This window comes from Homo sapiens, chromosome 16 (assembly GCF_000001405.40).
Source record: "Homo sapiens chromosome 16, GRCh38.p14 Primary Assembly".
Lineage (NCBI taxonomy): Eukaryota > Metazoa > Chordata > Mammalia > Primates > Hominidae > Homo > Homo sapiens.
In genome coordinates this window covers 75,343,447-75,369,939 of record NC_000016.10, presented here as the reverse complement: position 1 = coordinate 75,369,939, position 26,493 = coordinate 75,343,447, and the positions used below count along the sequence as shown (strand labels likewise).

Sequence of the window (26,493 nt, the reverse complement as noted above, 5' to 3'; positions counted from 1 at the left end):
TAATAATACAAAAATTAGCTGAGCTTGGTGGTGCAGGCCTGTAGTTCCAGCCACTGGGGAGGCTGTGGCATGAGAATCGCTTGAACGTGAACCTGGGAGGCGGAGGTTTTAGTGAGCCAAGATCGCTTCACTGCACTCCAGCCTGGGTGACACAGTGAGACTCTGTCTCATAAACAAATAAATACAGTAAGTAAGTAAGTAAAGTGTTGGTCAAACAAAAGGAGGCCAGTTTGGAAACTCTGGTTCCTTAACCTGCTGTTGAGACTCTGAGCACTAGAGAATAATCTGGTCTTACTTAGTTTTCTTTGTTTCTGGTAGACAGATTTGCAAATTGCTTTTCCAGTTTCATCAGAAGAAACAAGTGTGGACACATACGTCTCTGTCAATACACTGTTTAGATTATTGGAGAATAAATAGGCAACCTACTGCGAAGCCATGTGTCTAAATGTATATAATAGTTAAAGCAGAAGCCTGCATCTAGCTAGAATTCTGTATAGCAGTGTGCGGGTTTTTTGGCTTTTTGTTTTTTTGTGGGTTGTTTTGTTTTTGTTTTTTTTGAAGCGAACTTTTGCTATATTGCTAAGGCTAGTCTTGAACTCCTGGGCTCAAGCAATACTGCCTTGACCTCCTAAAGTGCTTGGATTACAGGCATGAGCTACTGCGCCTGGCCTGCAATATGTATTTTAAGCTACTTTTTTTATTATTCCCTAAATAAAAATAATTTCTCCTATGCCTGACGAAATCAGTCTTATTTACGTTCAAAAACTATACTGAGGAGAGGAGGACTGTATTTACTTTGGACTTTTGAGCAACTCATTTACACATATTACACTTACATTTCTGATGTGCCTATTTTTAACCAAACCTTGAATTTGATACATTAGCTGATTGGCCACATAAATGTTTTGGTCTTCATAAAGCAAGACATGTTTGTGCAAGTATTGGAATATTTTATTCCATTTTATCCTTACTTTCTTTAAGTTATTGAAAAATGTAAAAAGGAAAGTACTGATACCCACAATGAAAATGTGTAAGTATCAGACTCCTTAAAAAAAAACAAACAAACAACTTTTTATTATGAAAAATTGCAGCAGCCTGGGCACATGGCGAAACTCCATCTCTACAAAAAATGCACAGATTAGCTGGGCGTAGTGGCACGTGCCTGTAGTACTCAGAATGCTGAAGTGGGAGGATTGCGTGAGCCTAGGAGGTTGAGGCTGACAGAGTGAGACCCTGTCTAAAAAAAAAAAAGAAAGAAAATATCAGACCTACACACAAAAGTAAAGTGTAAGGTATAATGAATCCCTGTACCCATCACTAAACTTCAACAGTTATCAATATTTTGCCAATCTTTTATATTAAATCCTTTATATGTGTTATCAAGTTGAATACTCAAATCTTTGCGGGTAGACATTACTATACCCCTTTTATTTTTTATTGTGGAAAATTTCATACAGTAGAGAGACTAGCATAATGAATCTCTCCATGTGCATGTAACCAATCTTCAGTACTTAACACATGTCCCATTTTACATCATCTATGATAGCTCTCCATCCACTCCACCACCAAAACCTCCACTGAATATTTTGAAGCAAAACTTTAACGTGCTGTGATTTTAGCTGTAAATATTTAAGTGTATATCTCTTAAAAGTATTCTTTTAAAAGCAATTACCATTATTACATCTAAAAATAATAATAATTTCTTGATATCCAGTATTTAGTCAGTGTTCATATTTCCTTAATTGTATCGTAAGTTTTTTGTTGTAGCTACTTTCCTTGAGTCAGGATGTAAACAAGGTCCACATATTCCATTTGACCGTTAAATCTTTTTGTTTTATTTGTTTGAGATGGAGTCTTCTCTGTGGCCAGAGGGCACGGTGCGATCTTGGCTCACCGCAACCTCTGCCTCCCGTGTTCAAGCGATTCTTCTGCCTCAGCCCTTGAGTAGCTGGGATTACAGGTGTCCACCACCACATCCAGTTAATTTTTGTATTTTTAGTAGAGGCAGAGTTTCACCATGTTGGCTGGGCTGGTCTCGAACTCCTGACCTCAAGTGATCCACCTGCCTCGGCCTCCCAAAGTGCTGGAATTACAGGCGTGAGCCACCATATCCGGTCTGGCTGTTAAGTTTTTTTTTTTTTTTTTTTGAGATGGAGTGTCACTCTGTCGCCCAGGCTGGAGTACAATGGCAGGATCTTGGCTCACGGCAACCTCTGCCTCCGGGGTTCAAGTGATTCTCCTGCCTCAGCCTCCTGAGTAGCTGGGATTTCAGGCTCCTGCCACCACGACCGGCTAATTTTTGTATTTTTAGTAGAGATGGGGTTTCACCATGTTGGCCAAGCTGGTCTTGAACTCCTATCCTCAGGTGATCTGCCCACCTCGACCTCCCACAGTGTTGGGATTACAGATGGGAGCCACTGCACCCAGCCGACTGTTAAGTCTTTTAAGTCTCATTTTATCTCTCCCACCCTGCCCCCTTATCCCTAGCAATTTTTTTTTTTTTTTTTTTAGTTCTGGAGTACATGTGCAGAATGTGCAGGTTTGTTACATAGGTACATGTGTGCCATAGTGGTTTGCTGCACCTGTCAACCCATCCACCACCTAGGTATTAAACCCAGCACGCATTAGCTATTTTTCCTAATACTCTCCCTAAATTTTTCTATTGTTTTAAACAGGTTTTTGGGTGGTGGTGGGGATTTATCATACCATAAAATTCATCCAAATACAAATGTATAGTTTAATAATTTGTAGTAATTTTTTTTTTTTTTTTTTTTTGAGATGGAGTCTCGTTCCTGTCACTCAGGCTGGAATGCAGTGGCGCCATCTCGGCTCGCTGCAACCTCTGTCTCCCAGGTTCAAGTAGTTCCCCTTCCTCAGCCTCCCAGGTAGCTGGGATTACAGGTGCCTGCCACCACACCCAGCTAATTTTTGTATTTTTAGTAGAGACAGGGTTTTGCCATGTTGGCCAGGCTGGTCTTGAACTCCTGACCTCACGTGATCCACCCACCTTGGCCTCCCAAAGTGCTAGGATTACAGGTGTGAGCCACCACACCCGGCCTATAGTAAATTTTTTAAAGTGGTAACTTTCATTGTGTACAATTTCATTTTAGAACACTTCCATCACCCAAAAAGTTTCCTTCTGCCCATTTGCAGTCAATTCCTGCTCCCATCTTCAGCCCCAGAAGATGGGAGCCCTCCAGACAACCACTGATCTGCTTTCTGTCTCCGTAGATTTGCCTTGTCTGGAAATTTCACTACATAGTCTTTCAGTATCTATCTCCCTATAACGGTTTTTTTGTTTGTTTGTTTTTGAGACAGAGTCGCACTCACTCTATCCACTCCAGGTTAGAGTACAGTGGCACGATCTCGGCTCACTGCAACCTCCGCCTCCCATGTTCAAGCGATTCTCTTGCTTCAGCCTCCCCAGTAGCTGGGATTACAGGCGTGTGCCACCACACCCGGCTGATTTTTGCATTTTTGGTAGAGACAGGGTTTCACCATGTTGGCCAGGCTGATACTGAGCTGCCTGCCTCAGCCTCCCAAAGTGCTGAAATTATAGGTGTGAGCCACTGTGCCTGGCCTCGCTATAAGGTGTTTTTGAAGTTCATCCAAAAATGAATGAATGAGGATCTTTGGGGAACTCACCAATTTCCCATTTGTTAGTGCTGAGCAGTTCTGGACAACTGCCAGAAAACAAATGTTTTCTTGTGTAGTATATATCAATAATTCATTGCTTTTTATTGCTAAAAAATATTGTACTTTATAGCTATACCACATTATACTTATCCCATTCATCAGTTGATGGACATTGTGTTGTTTTTACTTTTTGGCTTTTTAAATAATGCTGCTATGAACATTTTGTGTACAGGTCTTTATGTGGACATGTTTTCATTTTCTAGGATTGATACCTAGGAGTGAAATATGCTGGCTGGTAAATTATTTTCAAAGAAATTTTAAGGAATTGTTCATTGTTTTCCAAAGTGGTCACACCATTTTACATTCCTACCAGCAGTGCATGAGGGTTCGCTTTGTCCACTTCCTCATGAACAGCTGGTAGTGTTGGCCTTTTTGATCTAGCAGATGGGTAGTGGTACTTCATTGTATTTAATTTGCATTCCTTTAATGCCTAATGATGTTGAGTATCTTTTCATGTACTTACTGGCTATTTGTATATCTTCTCTGATGAATTATGAGTTGTATGTCTTCTTTGGTTTTTTGTTTGTTTTTTTGAGACAGGGTTTCACTGTATTGCCCAAGCTGGAGTATAGTGAGGCACAGCGGCCTCAAGTGATCCTCCTGGCCTCAAGTGATCCTCCCACCCTAGCCTCCTGAGTAGCTAGTGCTACAAGCACTGGCTACTATGCCTGACTGTGTATCTTATTGAGTTGGGGCTTCCTCCCTCACTTTCCAGCTGTTCTGACAGCCAGACTTAGTACTGTCTCCATAACCCATGGAGAAGCATCTTTCTGCTTAAGTTTTAGTCCGTCTGTGCCACAGAGACTGACTAATCTCACACAGTCAGTCCCCTTCTCTCAAAGGTTGAATCCACTCCAATTTCTGCCTGGCTTTGGTTGCTCTCCAGTGCCTTCAAATAGGCAAGAGTTTTCTATGTATTGGCCAGAGTATATAGTTGTTATCTGTCTGAGGGAGGGTTAGTCCCAAAAAGCTGCTTTATTACTATGTTATTCCATTTAATAATAGCTTCTTTTTTGACTTAACACAGATGTATTTAACCTTGCCATTCAACTTCAGTTATCACATAAAATTTATAATTACTTTCTGATTTGTAAGCTGTTTATGGGCTTAGAGTAACTCCACATATTAATATACCAAATATTTAAGATGCTATGGAAAAACAACTAGCCAGTCACCATGGTGAAATTCGTGTCGTGTTGATAGCCAAATAATCCACAACACATTATAGTCACAAATAAGTAACTTGGTTTCCTTCTCAGCACCCATCTATTTAAAATACACTAAAAAACATCCACCAGAATGATGCAGTTAATGGCCAGTGTTTAGCACTTGACATACATTTATAAATGTTTAGTGGTTCTCAAACTCTTTGGTCTGAGGACTTCTTTATATCCATATCAATGATTGAAGACTCCAAAGAGCCCTTAATACCTATTGATATTTACAGTAGTAGAAATTAAAACTGAGAAATTTAAAACATTAACTTATTTTCAAATAACAGTGGTAAACTCATTACATGTTAACATAAGTAGCATATTTTTGTGAAAAATAAGTATATTTTCCAATACAAAAAAATGTTGTGAGAAGAGTGGCATTGTTTTACATTTTTACAAATCTTTTAAATATCTGTCTTCATTGAAGATAGCTGACTCTGCATCTTCTTCACACATTCCATTAGCTGTCAGAGCAATAACACCGTCACCCACCATGTAGCCTCTGGAAAAATCCACTTGTGACAGAATACAAGAGAAGAAGGCAAATAATGTCTTCGTGTTGTCATGAAAATAGCTTTAACCTTTTCAGCTCCCTGAAAAAAATCTCCCATCTCTCTGGGGTCCCTGAACCACACTGAGAACTGCAGGTTTAATATATCTCTGGAAGGATACTCAGGCAGCTAAGAACAGTGTTGGTCTTGGGGAAAGGGGAATTTGGTAGCTAAAAGACAGCAAAGGGTAGAATGGAGGCTTATTTTAAAATACCTTTTGAGTATTTTACTTGGTACATTAATACCATTTTTTTAAAAAGTGAATTGTTAAATAAAGCCCTTATTTTCTTTCTGGCAGAAAGGTGCTTAAAGTAATAGTTTTTTTTGTTTGTTTGTTTGTTTTGTTTTGTTTTGTTTTTTTAATTTCACTTTAAACACATAGATCTAGAGGGGAGAAGTACCTCAGAGGACACATCTCCAATCTAAATTAGGTTCCCACTAGTATGAACCTTCACAGCCCCTAATTCTTTTCTGTAGCACTTACCTCAATTTGTAATTGCATGGCTGTGTGTGTGTGTGTGTGTGTGTGTGTGTGTTTCACCTCTTTTCTCCCCCACTAGACTATTAACTTCCTGAGGGCGTGAATCAAATCTGTTTTGCTCGCTTGTCTCAGTTCAGTACTTGGTTCATAATAGTTTGTTAGTAAATATTTATTGAATGAATGAATGAGGATCTTTGGGAAACTCCTATCAATTTCCTATGTCAGTGCTGACCAGTTCTGGACAGTTGCCAGAAGACAGTTCTTGACCAAACACCTTTTTTTGCATAGATAAAATGCTTCTTGGCTGGACATGGTGGCTCACACCTGTAATCGCAGCACTTTGGGAAGCCAAGGTGGGTGGCTCATTTGAGGTCAGGTGTTTGAGATCAGCCTGACCAACATGGTGAAACCCTGACTCTACTAAAAATACAAAAATTAGCTGGGTGTGATGGCGGGCACCTATAATCCCAGCTACTCGGGAGGCTGAGGCAGGAGAATCCCTTGAACCCAGGAGGCAGAGGTTGCAGTGAGCTGAGATTGCGCCACTGCACTCCAGCCTGGGCGACAGAGCGAGACACCATCTCATGGAAAAAAAAAAAAAAGGTAAAGTGCTTCCTGCATTTGTTCTCATTCCTCATAGATTGTGCACTAGATGAGCAGTAAGTATTAACAATCCATTTAGGAGTGTCACAAGAGGGGATGGCAAAAATTTTTTTTTTTTTTTTTGGTGCTCAGACTTTCATACATTAAGTCTTTTTACTATTTCAAAGATTTCTTTGTCATTCTTTGGTTGTTACATTTTTCTATAGAAAAACAAAATAGCATTTTTTTTTAAAGACCATGTTGGATTTGTCAAACCTGACTCCAGTGCCAGAGTAAAGAGCGTTGTACTAACTTAACGCTTGTGTCTGAATGAAGTTGGCCAAATGCTTACATATGTTTCCTGGTGGTGATTCTTTCAGTATTCTCAGTTCACATGCCACTGGGTCATCAGAAGACAAGTATCTGGATTTCAGAGCCAACAGTTTGCTTTTATTTAAGCTGCAAGACCCTCCATTGCCATAAGATCTGCCACTGCCATAATAACAAAACCTCAGCTGGAACTTCTGCTGCAGCCATTGAGGTCTGTACATAGGCCTCCTGCTCTCGCTTCTGGTTCCATGTAATATCATTGTTTATAAAAAGAATTAGTGTCTGTTCTGTATAAAACAACACTGTGGGGCAGAAGCTTTGCAGTCATTAGTAAGAGGGGCCACCGTGAACTACAGTTGCATTGAAAAGCAATTCTTTTCCCTCTTAGGAAATAGAACTTTAACTTAGGCTTGCTTTTATAACACCTGAAGGAATGGAAGAGGAAAGAGTAGTGTTCTCGAGGGTACCTTAACTTACAGCTTGTGTTGTAGGTCGAGATTGGCTGCATTATTATGTTACATGGTTTCTTGAGCCATGGTGAGCATATTTTCCAAACCAAAAATCAGCATAGCTATTCGGACAGTATTTTTTAAGTCAAATGTAATTACACATTTAGAAGTAAAATTAAAAGTTGAGACTGTCCAGGAAAACCCAGAACATAGGGATGCCTTGCCTGGAAGACGGGAGGTTGACTCCTCAAAGGAGAAGTATGCTGAACTTTAAACTTGACCCCCCTTGCCTTTCAGCACAGTGTTGATATCAGCCCTCCTAGAGGTGCAGCTGGGCCCCGCCTTTCTACCCAAAGTAGGATGCTACACCATAGGCCATAGGCAAGACCACTGATCTGTATGGAGACTTGATTTTTAGTATGAAGGATATTTTTTGCCTGGCCTTGAAGCCTGTAGGGCAGACATGGAAAAGGAAATGACAGTACTGACCCAGGACTGTCCCGTCTGACTTATTACCCAATTTGTGTAGATCATGCAGTCTAGGAACTAGCAAGCATTCGATTGCGGCAAAAGCATCTCCGAATGAATAACTTCATTGAATTCTTGGGTTTTTCTGAGTTCCTTCATTTTGTACAAATGACTTCCTGTAGGTATGGGAATTATTGGTCAAGACAGGCTCTTTTGCTTGTTTTCCTGAGGCCACGCTTTCAGCTCATGCCGTAGCAGAATAGGAGAAGGAAGAGAGCGAAAAATAATAGTAAAATTCTGAAAACAAATACAAGGAAACCTGGGACCCAAAGAGGAAACAGACGTTGAGAAATTCAAAAAGAAACCAGACAAGGAGAGAACATGTTCATGTGTTCAGAGTTGTTTTCTACAGTGTATTTATGGAGGGTGCAAGTGCCTTTTGACAGTTCTATTGTGTATTGTAAAAAAACTTTTTTTAATTCTTTGAGTTTTTTACATGTTTATCCCTTCCTAAGTTGATTTGTGTGTCTTTTTGGTTTTGTTTTTCTTTTTGAGACATAGTCTTGCTCTGTTGCCCAGGCTGGAGTGCAGTGGCATGATCTCAGCTCACAGCAACCTCCGCCTCCCAGGTTCAAGCGATTCTCATGCCTCAGCCTCCTGAGTAGCTGGGATTACAGGCGTGCGGCACCACACTTGGCTAATTATTGTATTTTTAGTGTACGTGGGGATTCACTATGTTGTCTAGGATGGTCTTGAACTCCTGACTTCAAGTGATCCACCTGCCTCGGCCTCCCAGAGTGCTGGGATTACAGGTGTGAGCCACCGCGCCCGGCTTTAAATTTAAACAATATCTGACTTGCCTGGGTGTGGTTACTCATGCCTGTAATCACAGCACTTTGGGAGACTGTGGCGGGTGGATCACTTGAGGCCAGAAGATCGAGAGCAGCCTGGCCAACATGGCAAAACCCCATCGCTACTAAAAAATACAAAAATTAGCCGAGTGTGGTGGTGCGTGCCTGTATTCCCAGCTACTACAGAGGCTGAGGCAGGAGAATCACTTGAACCCAGGAGGTGGAGGTTGTAGTAAGCCAAGATCACGCCACTACACTCCAGCCTGGGCCATAGAGTAAGACCCTGCCTCAGAAAAAAAGAAAAGAAAATTGGTGAATGGGTGGAATGTTTGAAAGAATAGCCAAAAATGTATCTTAACATTGGATGATGTTTCTAGAGATGGTGTGGAAGATCAACTGCTGTTTCTTACTATTTCTTTTTAAAAAAGAATTCTTATGTGAATCTTTTTAACATCTTACCTGTAATATTTTTATGGTTTGTTTAATGGTCAGTTGTTAAATTTGTCTATTGAAAATTAACGTTGCTTAAATATTACATATAAATTAAGGTAGCTTGTTCTTTTAAGCACATCAAACATCTTAAGAGATAAAATATAAATACAATTATTAATAAGACTTATTCTGTGTGGTTTGGGGTAAACTAGTGGCAAATTTCCAGTTATCTTGATTTTCAACAATTTCTACTAGAAGGGATTTTATTCAGCCACAGGAAAGTTATTGTTATGTATGCTCTGTTTTTGTCTTTAACTTATGCTCCCATTGGGGGTTAATGCGATATAAGAAGAGGGGTAGTATTCCTTTCCATGTACAAAAACCTGTTTTGGACCCTCTGGTGCTAAATTATTTTTACAAAATTAGTTTTGTTTCGGTTTCCTTCAGTTAACCATAGTTATTTTCTTTTTGAAGCTCAGATTGTCATAGATTGGCTAATGGCATTGTCTTTGAGCTGATTCCTTTGTCCTTTTGACACTAACTCTGGCAGTCTGAAAAGTATTCTTACTTTCTGGCAGTGCTAGAAAATACCAGAATGGTCTTTATTGTTTTTTTGCCCCAAGACATGGAGTCATCTCCCATCTAGGTTCCTGGTTCCTTTAGTGGAAAGTAATATTAGAAACCAAAATCTGGGCTGGGCGCAGTGGCTCATGCCTGTAATCCCAGCACTTTTTGGGAGGCCAGGATGGGAGGATTGCTTGAGGCCAGAAGTTCAAGACAGGCTGCCCAACATAGTGAGACCCCCTTCTCTACCAAAATTTTAAAAATGAGCATGCATCTGTAGTCCTAGCTATTGGGAAGGCTGAGGCAGGAGGATCATCTGAGCCCAGGAGTTTGAGGCTGCAGTGAGCTAAGAAGGTGCCACTGCACTGCTGTTGTCTCTCAGCAGATCATTTTCAGCTTTCTTTGGAGAGTAGCCATTAGCAATGCAAATGTGAAGTTTGATAGCACAATAAATAAAACACTGAAAACTGTAGATGTTACTTATAAAACACTGGCACTCAGATAAATTGGGTTTGGTCAAGAAGACAGTGAAGCATATCCCTGTTGGGCCAGAGGCTGTTATCGTTTTGCTCTGAATTCAAAACCTGATATGTCTCCAAATTTGCTTAGGGTTGTTATCCTGGAAAATAGAATCTGATAGAAGGTGGGCACTGGTACCAAGTGCAAGGTGGAGGTGATCATGGTTAGGGCAATTGCATACAGGTCATGACTGCATTGGAGTCTCAGGAAAGATTGGTTTAGTGATTTGGCAAATCCAAGGCATGAGTTTTGGGTGGTTTTGTTGTTTTGTCTTATTTTTCCACCCCTTAAGAGTCTTAGGGGAAAACAGCATCATTGAATAGACTAGCTAAAAATTCAGCACTTAATACCCTTCACAGCGTATTAGCCTCTGCAGAGCTTTGCTATTTTGGAACCAGTGGTGTGAATTATTCTCTGTTAATAAGAATCTGGCTTTCTTTTCCTGTTGGAAAAGAGGCTCGTGTGCATGTTACTCTGACTCAGTAGTTCTCAAACTTTTTGTTCTCAGGACCTCTTTACGCTCTTCAAAATTATTGACTGGGTTATAACTGTTGTTATTTATAGTATAAGAAATTAAAATAAACTAGTATATTTTTAAAATTTAGAATAGCATGATTTTGTAAATTTCTTTAATATCTCGCTTAATCGAAGATAGCTGGAGTGTCAGATCTGCTTTTCCATTCAGTCTATTTTAATCAGTTGTTTTGGCTGAATTATATAAAGAAAATTTAGTCTCACTCAAATATGTAGTTGGAAAAGGAAGGAGTATTTTACTAGCTGTTTTGATAATTTTGGTTATCCTTTTGTGATACTACGCCAAATGTGAACAGTGATGTAACAGCATGCATTAATCATTTCAGAACTGCTGATTACTGGGTTATACAGCTCTTCTAACGTTGACTGATTTCATTAGACATTCTCAACAAGTCACATTCATTAATATCAGTGCCAATCAAAAGTCTTCACAAGGAAGCTGTCTAGTTCACGGTGGTAGGCAACAAGTTTTCCAAAATTCTAAAGCTCAGAATTTATCACTGCCAGCAGATACTGTCAGGTCTTGGACAGACAGACATTGTTCACTTTCGAGAAAAGAGAAAATGTCTGTCGAATACTTAAGTATGAATAACCATAGTCTATCTGCCAGTCATTTTTTTCAGGTAAAAATGGTGTTCATGGGGGAAAAGTAGGTAATTCAGCTTGTAATTTGGTTGTACAAATGCTCTTCCTGGAGACTCCCACTCTTGGCAGAAGTGCTTTATGATCACTTTCATTTTCATAAAAAATATTTAAAAGATACCTAGTTAAGAATCAAGCTTTAATAAATACCTCATTTTATGTAAAATATTTATTTTACTTAATAACTTGCTGTTTCATTTTTTTATTAAAAAAGCTTTAGAATAATGTTGTATTGAATATCTGAAGAGATTATTATTTCAGAAAAGCTGCTAAAATGACATGGAGAGTTCCTATATGTAGGCATGCCTCATCTGATGGCACTGTGCTTTACTGTGCTTCACAGATACTGTGTTTCTTACACATTGAAGGTTTGAGTTGAGCATATCTACCCGTGCCATTTTAACAGCAGCTTGTATTTACTTCATGTCTCTGTCCTATTTTGGTAATTCTCATAATATCTCAAATTTTTTCATTATTATTATATTATTATGGCGGTGTGCAATCAGTAATCCTTGGTGATACTATTGTAATTGTTTTGGAGCACCATGAGCCACACCCACATAGGATAACAAACTTATTTGGTAAATATTGTATTCCCTGAGACAAAACAATATTGAAATTAGGCTAGTTAGTAACCCTACAGTGACCTCTAAGTGTTCAAGTAAAAGGAAGAGTCACATCTCTCACTTTAAATCAAAAGCTAGAAATGATTTAAGGTTAGTAAGAAAAGATGTTGAAAGCCAAGACAGGCTAAAAGCTAGGCCTCTTGTACCAAACAGTTAGCCAAGTTGTAAATGCAAAAGAAAAGTTCTTGAAGGAAGCTAAGAGTGCTACTCCAGTGAACGCACAAATGATAAGAAAGTGAAATAGCTTTATTGCTGATCTGAAGACAGCTTGAATGGTCTGAATAAGATCAAACCAACCACACAACATTCCCTTAAGCCAAAGCCTAATCCAGAGTAAGGCCTTAACCCTTCAATTCTATGAAGGCTGAGGGAGAGGAAGCTCCAGGAGAAAAGTTTGAAGTTAGCAGAGGTTGTTCATGAGATTCTTTCCTTAGAAAGAAGCTGTTTCATCAGCTGCAGGAGCTTACACCTGTAATCTCAGCACTTTGGAAGTCAAGGCAGGTAGATCAGTTGAGGTCAGGAGTTCGAGACCAGCCTGGCCAATATGGTGAAACCCCGTCTCTACTAAAAATACAAAAATTAGCTGGTCATGGTGGTGCACACCTGTAGTCCCAGCTACTCAGGAGGCTGAGGTAGGAGAATCGCTTGAACTCGGGAGGTGGAGGTTGCACTGAACTGAGATCATGCCACTACACTCCATCCTGGGTGACAGGATGAGACTTCGTTTCAAAAAAATTAAAAATTAAAAATAAATAAAATAATTTTAAAAAAGAAAGAAGCTGTTTCCAGGCTGGTCGAGGTGGCTCACACCTGTAATCCCAGCACTTTGGGAGGCCAAGGCGGGTGGATCACATGAGGCCAGAAGTTCAAGACCAGCCTCGCCAACATGGCAAAAGCCCATCTCTACTAAAAATACAAAAATTAGCCAGGCATGGTGGCACACGACTGTAGTCCCAGCACTTGGGAGGCTGAGGCAGGAGAACTGCTTAAACCTGGGAGGCGGAGGTTGCAGTGAGTCAAGATCACGCCACTGCATTACAGCCTGGGCAACAGATCAAGACTCTGTCTCAAAAAAAAAAAAAAAAAAAAGAAAGAAAGCAGCTGTTTCCATAACATGGAAGTACAAGATGAAGCAGCAAGTTCTGATGCGGAAGCTGCAGTAAGTTATTTAGAAGATCCAGCTAAGATAATTGATGAAGGTGGCTACACTAAACAACAGATTTTCAGTGTAAATGAAACAGCCTTTTCTTTTTTCTTTCTTCTTATTATTTTTTTAAATAGCTTTCTATTGGAAGAAGATGCCATCTAGGACTTCAGTTAGCTCGGAAGGAGAAGTCAATGCTTGGCTTCAAAATTTCGAGTGATAAGGTGGCTCTTTTGCTAAGGGCTAATGTAGCTGGTGACTTTAAGTTGAAGTCAGTGCTCATTTGCCATTCTAAAAATCCTAGGGCCCTTAAGAATTATAATCTACTCTGTGTTTTTTAAGTGAAACAACAAAACATAGATGACAGCACATCTGTTTCCAGCATAGTTTCCTGAATATTTTAACCCCACTTTTGAGACATACCGCTCAGACAGAAAGATTCCTTTCAAAATGTTACTGCTCATTGACAGTGTACCCAGTCATCCATATGCTCTGATGGATGTGTACAAGAAGATTAATGTTGTGTTGTTTACTGTTAACATCCATTCTGCAGCCCATGGATCAAGAAGTAATTTCAACTTTGAAGTGTTACTTGTTTATTTGTTTATTTTCACTCCTGACAAGCTGTGATGGTCTTATTACTTAAATACATTTAATAAGGCTATAGCTGCCGTAGATAGTGATTTATCTGATGAATCTGGACAGAGTTTATTGAAAACCTTCTGGAAAGAATTCACTATCCTAGATGCCATTAAGAACATTTGTGATTCATGGGAGGAGGCCAAAATATCCACAGGAACAGGAGTTTAGAAGAAGTTTATTCCAACCCTTATGGGTAACTTTGAGGGATTCAAGACTTCAGTAGAGGAAGTAACTGCAGATACAATGGAAATATCAAGAGAGCTACTATGAGAAGTATAGCCTGTATTAGTCCATTCTCACACTGCTATGAAGAAATAGCCGAGACTGGGTAATTTGTAAAGAAAAGAGATTTAATTGACTCTCAGTTCCGCATAGCTGGGGAAGCCTCAGGAAACTTACAGTCATGGCGGAAGGCACCTCTTCACAGGGTGGCAGGAGAGAGAATGAGTGCAAGCAGGGGAAATGCCAGATGCTTATAAAACCATCAGATCTCAGGAGACTCACTCATTATCATGAGAACAGCATGGGGGAACTGCCCCCATGATTCAGTTACCTCCACCTTATCCTGCCTTTGACACATGGAGATTATTGTAATTCAGGGTGAGATTTAGATGGGGATACAGAGTCAGACCATATCAGAGCCTGAAGATGTGACTGAATTGCTTCAATTTTATGATAAAACTTTGACAGATGAGGAGTTGCTTCTTATGGATGAACAAAGAAAGTGGTTTCTTAAGATGGAATCTACTCCTGGTGAAGATGCTGTCAACATTGTTGAAATGACAGCAAAGGATTTAGAATAGTATATATTTAGTTGATAAAGCAATAGCAGGGTTTGAGAGGATTGACTTCAATTTTGAAATAAGTTTTACTCTGGGTAAAATGCTATCAAACAGCATTGCATGCTACAGAAATCTTTCATGAAAGAGGAGTCAATGTGACAGACTTCACTGTTGTTTTATTTTAAGAAATTGCCACAATTACCCCAGCCTTCAGCAACCACTACCCTGATCAGTCATCAGCCATCAACACTGAAGCTAGACCTTCTTCCAACAAAATGATTTTGATTCACTGAAGGCTCAGATGATCAGCAGCATTTTTAGCAATATTTTAAAATGAAGATCTGTACATTGTTTTTCTTAGACATAATGCTATTACACACTTAATAGACTGCAGTGCGGTGTAAACATAACTTACATATACACTAGGAAACCAAAAAATTTGTGTGGCTTACTTTACTGTGATATTTGCTTCATTGCTGTGGTCTGGAACTGAACCCAAAATATCTCCTAGGTGTCCCTGCATGTGTCACCCAGCTTTCTCTGATGTTAACATCTTATATTTGGCAGTGGTACATTTGTCAAAATTAAGAGATTAACAACGGGACGGTACTATTATCCAAACTCCACTCTTTATTATAATTTCCCATTTTCCCACAAGTGTCTTTTAGCATCTTATTCCAGGATCCAGTTGCGGATACCCTGTTGCATTTAAGCAGTAACTTTTAAAACAGCACTTTTCCCTTTCCCCACCACATTTAAGAAAAGAAGCACATTTTAGACTTACAGAAGAGTTGGAAAGATGGAACAGAGAGTGCCATGTACTTTTACCCAACATCTTGCATAGCCATGGTGCATTTGTCAGAACTGAGAGACTAACAGTGCCATCATGTTTTTATGCATCATGAGGACACTTCTCTTGGAGATATGTCTTGGATTTTTTTTTTAACACCAAGGCTGTGAACCTCATGCTCATATGACTTTAAGGCTGGAGTTAGGCAGACCAGGACTTCACATTCCTCCCTGGCCATATCCCGCTCTGTGATCTCTTTCAACTTTCTTCTCCACAACAGTGAATGCAGAGCCATGAGAGAATGTGCGGGTATGTGGCAGGCACTCAGCAAGTTACTACACATGTTCCTTGACATATGATGGGGTTATGTCCCAATAAATGCATTGTAAGTTGAAAATATACGTTGAAAATGCATTTAATTCACCCAACCTACCAAACATCAAAGCTTGGCCTAGCCTACCTTAAATGTGCTCACAACACTTACCTTAGCCTGTACTTGGACAAAATCATGTAACACAAAGTCTATTTTATAATAAAGTGTTGAATATCTTATGTAATTTATCAAATACTATACTGGAAGTGAAAACCAGAATGGGCGTATGGGTACTCAGAGTAGTTTGTGCTGAATGCATATCACTTTCACACCATGATAAAGGCAAAAAATTCTAAGTCAAACTATAGTAAGGGACATAGTCTTTTCTGTTCCCAGAAAGGGGCTTAGAACAGAGATTCAGTAAAATAACAAAAAGCTTTAAAACTGAAGGGAAAAATGGTTTGAAAACTCTGTTAAGGAATTTTTTATCATTATTTCTTTTAATACCATGGTCCATTTTTTAAATCTACTTCAGTAATTAACCATTAATGACTTTTTTTTTTTTTTTTTTTTTTTTTTTTGAGACGGACTTTTGCTGTGTCGCCCAGGCTGGAGTGCAGTGGCACGATCTCGGCTCACTGCAAGCTCCACCTCCCGGGTTCATGCCATTCTCCTGCCTCAGCCTCCTGAGTAGCTGGGACTATAGGTGCCCGCCACCGCGCCCAGCTAATTTTTTGTATTTTTAGTAGAGATGGGGTTTCACCATGGTCTCGATCTCCTGACCTTGTGATCTGCCCGCCTCGGCCTCCCAAAGTGCTGGATTACAGGCGTGAGCCACCGCCCCCAGCCTCATTAATGACTATTTATATATCACCTGTACTCCTACCTAACTCCCACATATGATTTTGAAGCAAATTTCAGGTATTGTATATAATTTTACACATAAATTTTTGATATATATCTAAAAATATTTACCCATAAATATTTCAGTATGTATCTCTTCTTTTTAAACATAACTACATACTATTCACATACCTAAGAAAAAATAATGTCTTCATGATATTACCAAATACCCAGTCAGTGTTTAAATATCTAATTGGTCTAATAAGTTTGGTTAATTGTTTACAGTTTGTTTGGATCCAGTAAGGTCTATACATGGCAGTTGGTTGGCACTGCCTCTTAGTCCTTTTTAATCATCAGATTTCTATTCCATCTTTTTTTCAATTTTTCTACTTGGAATGTATTTGTTGAAGAAACTGAGCTGAAGAAACTGAGGATGTTGCCCACATACTCATGGGTTTTGCTGGTTACATCCTCATAGTAGAGTTTAACATGTTCCTCTGTCCTGTGTGTTTCTTGTAAATTGGTAGTTTTATCGGAAGACAATCAGATTTCAATTTCACATATATAGTTTTTCTTATCAAGACTGTATTAGAGTGATGTTTTATTTTGGGACACATAAGGTCTGGTTTTCTTTTTTTGTGATGCTAGTAGCTGTTGATATCCTAGATACACTAGGATCATGTAACACAAAGTCTATTTTATAATAAAGTGTTGAATATCTTATGTAGTTTATCAAATACTGTACTGGAAGTGAAAACCAGAATGGGTGTATGGGTACTCAGAGTAGTTTGTACGGAATGCATATCACTTTCACACCATGATAAAAGGCAAAAAATTGTGAGTCAAACCATAGTTAAAGTTCTGAATCTTTAAAGGAAGACATAAACGTCCCTGTAATAAAATTATTATTTTTTTAAAAAGATAGAGATACACTTATGATTATGATACACTTATTACACTTATGGTTATGAAATGATGGCAGTCTAATTTTATCATTTCTTCATTTATTTGTTGTAATGCTTCTAAAGATAATAAGTCTCATCTCCTTCTCTGTTTGGTTCCCAATTCATATAGGAAGATAAATTCTTTTTTTTTTAATTGGGTGGTCTTTTTGTTGGTTTTTAATTTGTTTTGTTTTGTTTTTTTGAGACAAAGTCTTACTCTGTTGCCCAGGATGGAGTGCTGTGGCGTGATCTCGACTCACTGCAACCTCCGTCTCCTGGGTTCAAGCGATTCTCCTGCCTCACCTTCCCCAGTAGCTGGGACTACAGGCACGCACCACCATGCCTGGCTTATTTTTGTATTTTTGGTAGAGACAGGGTTTTGCCATGTTCGCCAGGCTGGTCTCAAACTCCTGACCTCAAGTAATCCACCCACCTCAGCCTCCCGGAGTGCTGGGATTACAGGTGTGAGCCACAGCACCCAGCGAATAAATTCTTTCATTTACCTTTTCTTTTTTTTTTTTTTTTTTTTTTTTTTGAGACAGAGTCTCAGTCTGTCGCCCAGGCTGGAGTGCAGTAGCGCAATCTTGGCTTACTGCAACCTCTACCTCCCGGGTTCAAGTGATTCTCTTGCCTCAGCTTCCTGAGTAGCTGGGATTATAGGCGTGTGCCACCACACCTGGCTAATTTTTGTATTTTTAATAGGGACGGGGTTTCACTATGTTGGCCAGGCTGGTCTCGAACTCCTGACCTCAAATGATCCACCTCCCTCAGCCTCCCAAAGTGCTGGAATTACAGGCGTGAGCCACCACACTTGGCTATTTACCTTTTCATATCCTTTTATTTTCCCAATTCATATAGGAAAGATAAGTATTTTCCCTTTCATTTTCAAAATTGATTGGTACACTAACCTCCTCCATAGTAACTAATTTGTATTTTTTTATTATGAACTCATGAATTTAAACATTTGATGTTGTTTCAGTCCATTGCAGTCATTATCCTTATTGATTCTCAAAGTGTTTTATATTTGACAAATAAGTTCTTCAAATTAGTTAGTTATTTTGATAGTGACCTTAATAGTCTTTGCTAGCTTCCATCCCTGTATGGCATAACAAAACATTCCAGGCCCCTTTAGTACATTTCCTGTCCCAGACCTGGTATTAGTCATCTAATCTGGAAGCCCTGCTTTCTTTCTGTGGGAAACATTATTTCAAGACATTAGGGATAAGAATGCCAGTTGCTACTGAGTTGGTTATTGTTTCAAGGATTTATCAATACATAGAGTAAATAATTATGTTTTGCTTTGTCTTATTTTTATTTCTTTACTTTAGAAACAGTACAGCTACTTACAAATCAAGTTTAGAACTCTCAGGTTATCTTAAATCTGAAGCTTCTACCTTCCTAAGAACAAAACACCGGAATGATGAGATGTCATATAAATATCCATTTATTTTATTTCACAATACATACATTGACCTATTGTATGTATGATTAGTACAAATGGTTTAAATTGGCTTGTTGTGCTTTGTTTTGTTTTTGCAGTTTTTTTTTGTCATTAGATTTTATCTCACTAGAAATGTATAGTCAAATTTCTGTGTTCTAAAGTCACTTGAAGTAGTTTTTCTGTTTGTAGTAATGTTACCAGTTGGACACATTAGGTTCATTTATTTTTGGGAATTGCTTTTGTTCCCATTTAAATTTTTATTTATCTTGCGTATCTTGGATTAACGGTAATAGACCATATACAATTTTCTCTACTTTTTTTCATTTGAGAGTTTCCTCATTTATTTTGTTTTCGGATGCAAAGTATTTCATTGTATGAATTACCAGTTTGTTCAATTAGTTTTCTTTGATAACATTTGGGTTGCTTCTAGTCTTTTGTTATTACAGAGTCTTGCAATGAATAGTCTTATGCTTATATGTTTTTGTGGTTTCTGGCAAGGATTTCAACGTAATTTAAGGCTATCCTCTACTTAAGTTATGGCCAATTAAGTGTCTGATTAAATGTCTGTAATAATTTAAAAATAACAATACTTAATTTAAAAGAGCTTATAATACATAATTATTCATTAGAGAGATGCAAATCAAACCACAGTGAGATAATACTTCACACCCACTAGGATGGTTATAATTTAAAAAGATGGAAATAGCAAGTGTTGGCAAGGGTATGGAGAAGTTGAAACCTTCATACCTTGCTGGTTGGATATAGAATGGTGTAGCCACATAGGAAAAGAGTTTGGCAGATTCTCAAAGTTAAACATAGAGCTGTATACAACCTAACAATTCTGTGCATATACCCACAAAAAATGAAAACATATATCCACACAAAAACTTGCACACATATGTTCATAGCAGCATTATTCATCCAAAAAGTAGAGGTACTCAAATGACTTTCAACTGATAAACACAGATGAACAAAATGTATGTCCAAACAGTAGAATATTATTCAGCTATAAAAAAGAACAGAGTACACTTAGCAAACTAAGAATAGAAGGAACTTCCTCAATCTGATAAAGGACATCCATGAAAAACCCACCACTAATGTCATACTTAATCATGAAAAACCGAATGCTTTTCTCCTAAGATAGGAAAAAGACAAGTATGTCTACTCATGCCATCTCTATTCTACTTTGTATTGGTGCTTCTAGCCAGGGCAGTTAGACAAGAAAATGAAACAAGAGGCATCCAAATTGGAGAGAAAGGAGTTGAACTATTCCCAGATGGTATGCTCTAATATGGAGAAAATCCTAAGCAATCCACTAAAAATTGATTAGAACTAATGAACAAGTTCAGCAAGGTTACAAGATACAAGATCAATATGTAAAAATCAACCGTATATATGTATGTATATATATTTTTTTTTTTTTTTTTTTTTTTTTTTTTTTTTTTTTTTTTGAGACGGAGTCTCGCTCTGTCGCCCAGGCTGGGGTACAGCAGCACAAACACAGCTCACTGCATTCTCAACCTGGGGTCAAGCAGTCTTTCTGCCTTAGCCTCCCAAAGTGCTAGGAACTATATTTCTTTTTTTTCTTTTTTTGAGACAGAGTCTCGCTCTGTCACCCAGGCTAGAGTGCAGTGGCATGATCCTGGCTCACCGCAACCTCCACTCCCGGGTTCAAGTGATTCTCCTGCCTCAGCCTCCTGAGTAACTGGGATTACAGTCGCCCGCCACCACGCCCGGCTAATTTTTCTATTTTTAGTGGAGATGGGAGTTCACCATTTTGGCCTGGCTGGTCCTGAACTGCCCTCAAGTAATCCACCTGCCTTGGCCTCCCACAGTGCCTTGAGATTACAGGTGTGACCCACCGCACCCAGCCTAAGAACTGTATTTCTATAAACTAGCAGTGAACCATCCAAAAATGAAATTAAGGAGACAGCCCTGGTGCAGTGGCTCATGGATGTAATCCTAGCACTTTGGGAGGCTTTAAGAGGCTGAATTGCTTGAGGCCAGGAATTTAAAACCAGCCTGATCAACAGAGACTCCATCTCTACCAGAAAACGAACAAAAAAAGTTATCCAGGTGTGGTGGCATGCCCCTGTAGTCCCAGCTACTCAGGGTGCTGAGGCAGGAGGATCGCTCCAGCCCAGGAGTTTGAGGCTGCAGTGAGCTGTGATCGTACCACTATACTCCAGCCTGGGTGGCAGACAGCAAGACCCTGTCTCTGAAAACAAAAATTAAATGGAGACAGTTCCATTTACAAAAGCATCAAAAAGAATAGGAATAACTTTGACAATAGATGTGCACAATTGTATGCTGAAATCTACAAAATACTGTTCAAAGAAATTAATGAGTTCTGAGTAAAGACATTTAATGTTCATGGATTGAAAGATAATATGGCAACACAGACATGATTCACTTAAGAGCTGTATCTTATGATGTGCAAATTATATCAATACAAAAAAAAGCTTGCAGTAAATAATTACTGCAGTAAAATTTGAATTTTAAAAATATAAAGTGAGCCAAAAAAGAAAAAAACAACTTATGGTCTACTGCAGGTTTTTAATATTAAATGAGCATTTCTTTCCCATTCAAGATGAGCCACAAAAGCAGAGCCCAAGAAATTTTAGGCTTTGGGCTTAAAGTTGATTTTTTTGTTTATTGTTTTTAAATTTTATTTTGAAATAACTTTAGATTTACAGAAGTGTTGTAAAGATAGTACAGAGTTCCCATAAGCGCTTCACCCAGCTTCTTCTAATGCTGACATCTTATATAATCTTAGTACATTTATCAAAACTAAGAAATTAACATTGGGAGCCAAGCATGGTTCACACCTGCAGTCCCAACTATTTTGGAGACTGAGGAGGGAAGACTGCTTGAGGCCAGAAGTTTGAAGTTGCAGTGTGCTGTGATCACTCCTGTGAATCACCACTGTACTCCAGCCTGGGCAACATAGTAAGTGAGACCTTGTCTCTAAAAAAGAAAGAAATTAACATTGGTACAGCGCCATTAACTAAACGATAGACTTCAGATTTTGACAGTTTTCCCACTAATAACCGTTTGTGTTCCAGGACCCAAACCCATTTTCCACATTTAGTTAGTTGTCATGTCTCCTTAGTCTTCTCCCGCCCCATGACAGTTTCTCAGCCTATATTTATTTTTCATGACATTGCCTTTGGAAAGTGCTGGCCAGGTATTTTGTAGAGTGTGTCTTCATTTGGGTTTGCTTCGTGATTTCGCATGATGAGAATGAGGTTATGGATGTTGGAGAGACCACCAGAGAGGGGATTTGTCCTTTTCTCATATATCAGTGTATTACTCATATTAACTTTAATCATTTGGTCAAGATGGAGTTTGTCAGATGTCTCCACTGTAAAGTTTTCCCTTTAAATTTATGGTTTTGTATTGCTTTGTTCTTCCTTTTTTTTTGAGACGGAGTCTCGCTCTTTCACCCAGGCTGGAGTGCAGTGGCGCGATCTCAGCTCACTGCAACCTCCGCCTCCCGGGTTCACACCATTCTCCTGCCTCAGCCTCCCGAGTAGCTGGGACTACAGGTGCCTGACACTGCACTCAGCTAATTTTTTGTATTTTTAGTAGAGACAGGGTTTCACCGTGTTAACCAGGATGGTCTCGATGTCTTGACCTCGTGATCCACCCACCTGGGCCTCCTAAAGTGCTGGGATTACAGGCGTGAGCCACTGCGCCTGCTTTTTTTTTCTTTTTTCTTTTTCTTTTTCTTTTTCTTTTTTTTTTTTTTTTTTTTTGAGATGGAGTCTCACTGTGTCGCCAGGGCTGGAGTGCAATGGTCCGATCTCGGCTCACTGTAACCTCCGCCTCCTGGGTTCAAGCGATTCTCCTGCCTCAGCCTCCTGAGTACCTGGGATTACAAGCGCCCGCCATTATGCCCAGCTGACTTTTTGTACTTTTAGTGGGGACAGGGTTTCACCATGTTGACCAGGCTGTTGTCGAACTCTGACCCCGTGATTCACCCACCTCAGCCTCCCAAAGTGCTGGGATTACAGGTGTGAGCCCCCCGTGCCTGGCCTGTTCTTTCTTCTATTTTGAAGGTCACTTGGGATGCATTTTCATGCTATTAATAAAGAAATGCTGACCCTTGTTACTGAACTCCTGCTCCCGGGACGCATTGTGACACCAACTACTTGCTGTCATATGGAAGGACAGACAAGACCATCTGTGTTTTCCCAAGCTAAGCAGAATTTTTTTTCAGGAGTGGGGTGGGCAAGTCCTGTTGACTAACTAGATTTTCGAGTTTTGATTAGGCAGCAAAATACCACCTCAGAGAAGAGGAATGGGGCAAAATTATTTCCAGAGTTTGGATGGCATATCAATCTTTTGTAGTAGGTGCTGACTTTTTTTTTTTTTTTTTGAGTGGAAGATTTTAGAGCTATCTTGGAAAATCAAAGTATATCCAATATCGATTATATAAAACTTAGTTTATTGTTGCTTCCTTCATCCTGTCCACCTGGTACTCTTTTTTTTTTTTTTTTTTTTTTTTTTTTTTTTTGAGACAGAGTCTTGCTCTGTCACCCAGGCTGGAGTGCAGTGGCATGATCACGGCTCACTGCAAGCTCCGTCTCCCAGGTTCACGCCATTCTCCTGCCTTAGCCTCCCGAGTAGCTGGGACTACAAGCACCCACCACCACGCCCGGCTAATTTTTTGTATTTTTAGTAGAGATGGGATTTCACCGTGTTAGCCAGGATGGTCTCGATCTCCTGACCTCGTGATCCACCTGCCTCGGCCTGCCAAAGTGCTGGAATTACAGGCGTGAGCCACCATGCCCAGCCCTACCTGGTGCTCTTTACACTGGAGAGTTTACCCCTAGAGAACTTCAGCACATTGACATTCCTGGTCCTTGGGCTACTTCATTTACATTTACCTACAGCTTTGATGTCAGAATCCAGGACACAATCTCACCACCTTTCTGTTACTTTCACTTCACATGTGCTAGTAAACACTGAGGATTCAGCAGAATTTAAGCACAGTGAAGTGCTCATGGGAGATGCATTGGGAGTACTGAACATTGACATTTGAGCCATTGTTCCGTGTTGCTCACACTACCATCCAATTCTTTTTCACTTCACATGCATTCAGATTTCTTCTTGAGTAGAGACCTGGAAGCCTCAGACCTCATATCTAGAAGACCTTGATTATGTTCTCTGGTGCAGCCTCAGCTTAGTCACCGATGACATGACCAGGTCTTACAGCAAATGAGCACCAACTTAGGACCCACTGTCATGTGCCTTGAACATTTTTCAAAGTTTTCAGCATTTTTCAAGATTTTAAAGTTTACTTAATTATTTTCCTCATGGTGGTCTAACTGATCACAGTAAGAAAACAAATGATCTTTTGTTTAACAACTCATGGCATGAAAAAAACATATGATCTTGATCTCTTATTACCAAACTCTCTTGCAGACTTTGGGATGTTCTTTTCTTTCTTTTTTAAGAGACAGGGTCTTTGTCATCTAGGGAGGAGAACAGTGACATGATTATAGTTCACTGCATCCTTGAACTCCTGGGCTTAAACAGTCCTCCTTCCTCTTGCTCAGCCTCTTAAGTAGCTGGGACTACAGATGCATAGCCACCATGCCCAGATAATGTTTTGTTTTTTTTTGTTTTGTTTTGTTTTTGAGACAGAGTCTCACTCTGTCACCCAGGCTGAGGTAAAGTGGTACGGTCTAGGTTCACTGCAACTTGCACTTCCCACATTCAAGCGATTCTCATGTCTTAGCCTCCTGAGTGGCTGGGACTACAGGCATGTACCACCATGCCCAGCTAATTTTTGTATTTTTAGTAGAGACAGGGTTTTGCTATGGTGGCCAGGCTGGTCTCAAACTCCTGACCTTAAGTGATCCACCTGCCTCGGCCTCCCAAAGTGCTGGGATTATAGGTGTGAGCCACTGCTCCCAGCCTGTTTTATTTTTGTAGTGATGGGGTCTTGCTTTGTTGCCCAGGCTGGTCTCAAACTCTTGGGCTTAAGTGAACCTCCTGCCTCAGTCTCCCAAAGTGCTGGGATTGCCCAGGCTGGTCTTGATCTCTTGGGCTTAAGTGATCTTCCCACTTCAGTCTCTCAAGGTGCTGTGATTACAGACACGAGCCACTTTACCCAGCCTGAAAATGTTCTTTCTTTTTTTCTTTCTTCTTTTTTTGTTTTTGAGATGTAGTCTCCCTCTGTTGCCCAGGCTGGAGTGCAGTGGCACGATCTCAGCTCACTGCAACCTCTGCTTCCTGGGTTCAAGTGATTCTCCTGCCTTACCCTCCCAAGTAGCTGGGACTACAGGCACGCACCACCATGCCCAGCTAATTTTTGTATTTTTAGTAGAGACAAGGTTTCACCATATTGGCCAGGCTGGTATCAAACTCCTGACCTTGTGATCCACCCATCTGGGCCTCCTAAAGTGCTGGGATTACAGGTGTGAGCCACTGTGCCCAGCCAGGATGTTCTTTCTAAATGATGTTACTTCTGGGCTCTTTGTAAGGGTTATTAGTCCCTTTCTGAAGATTTGTTTTGAGTAGCTTTTCATTCAGTTTTTCTTCTTGTTTTGGTTTTTCTTAGGTGAATACACGCCTACTATAAAATATCTGAACATAAGCTATAACGTGGTTGTTCAGTCACGAATTGTACCATTATTTTATAGTTACTTTTCTAATGGCATAAGTCCCATGATTTTGTTTTCTAAAGCAATTAAAGTGATTTGACACCTGATTTCCTTTGTTTTCTTACTGTGGTGAAATACACCTAACATAAAATTAACCATTTTAAAGTGTACAATTCAGTGGCATTTCGTACATACACAGTGTTGTGTAGCCATCACTCTGGTTCCTTTTTATGTTTGTGTATACCAGTGAAAAAACATGCATAGTCCCTCAAAGCCTTGTATATACTGACAGAGCAAGCTTTTCATCAGCTTCAGAATTTATGCACTACTGCCAAAAGTTAGTTACTTTCATCCAGTAGCCAAGCAATTCATCGGTTGGGTTTTAAGTAACTGGTTTATTACAGCTTGTTGTCATACAGTAATTGCACTAAATAAGACCTCTAAAATTATTCGTGCTGCTTTAATTTGGGAATGGGGGAAACTGTTTCCTGCTAGAGATTCTAATTTTAGTATACATGCTGTGGAAGTGAGTACCCTGCTAGAGATTCTTAAAATGTCACAATTAAGCAAATGCCTTTAAAAATTCTGCATAAAATGTCGCATGCTTATGTATTGCCCCGTCTACTCAACTACCAGATCATCTACAGAATTATTTCCTTTTCTTTGCCTTCTTAGGAAATCAGCCTTTCATGCGCGAGATGACCCTGCATTGATTAACTGAGTTACTGTGAGTGGTATGACTAGGGCTAGTCAGTGCTAGGATATTGACCATTTTTAGTTTACTGGCCAAGGCAGTTCTGAAACTTACTGCCTAGTTTCTTTTTGGAAGCTTGTAAAATAATTGAGCTAGTGATGAAGTCATGAACTCTTTTCCAGGCTTCCCCAGGTGCCCTGAGGCCTTGTGTCCCCCAACCCCCTCAAATGACTGGGAATTGGCCTAGCTGTTTTGTCATACACATACATTTTCTCTACATTTCCTTTCCATCTTGGAACTGTTCCATTAGTGTTTGTTTCTCATCTACATGATGTGGAACTAACTGC

General features: G+C 39.6%; 1 protein-coding gene across 3 annotated transcripts in view; it reads left to right on the top strand.

The window, feature by feature from the left end:
* The window catches only part of CFDP1 (craniofacial development protein 1), a 139,794-nt gene that overhangs the window by 63,564 nt on the left and 49,737 nt on the right, over positions 1 to 26,493 (top strand). The window contains exon 8 of one of the 3 annotated variants that reach the window (XR_007064847.1): positions 6,905 to 10,741. The exons of the other annotated variants lie outside the window; for them this stretch is intronic. The gene's annotated coding sequence lies outside the window, so the exon portion shown is untranslated. Of the gene's footprint in view, positions 1 to 6,904; positions 10,742 to 26,493 lie in introns of those variants that run through there. 3 annotated transcript variants of the gene reach the window in all.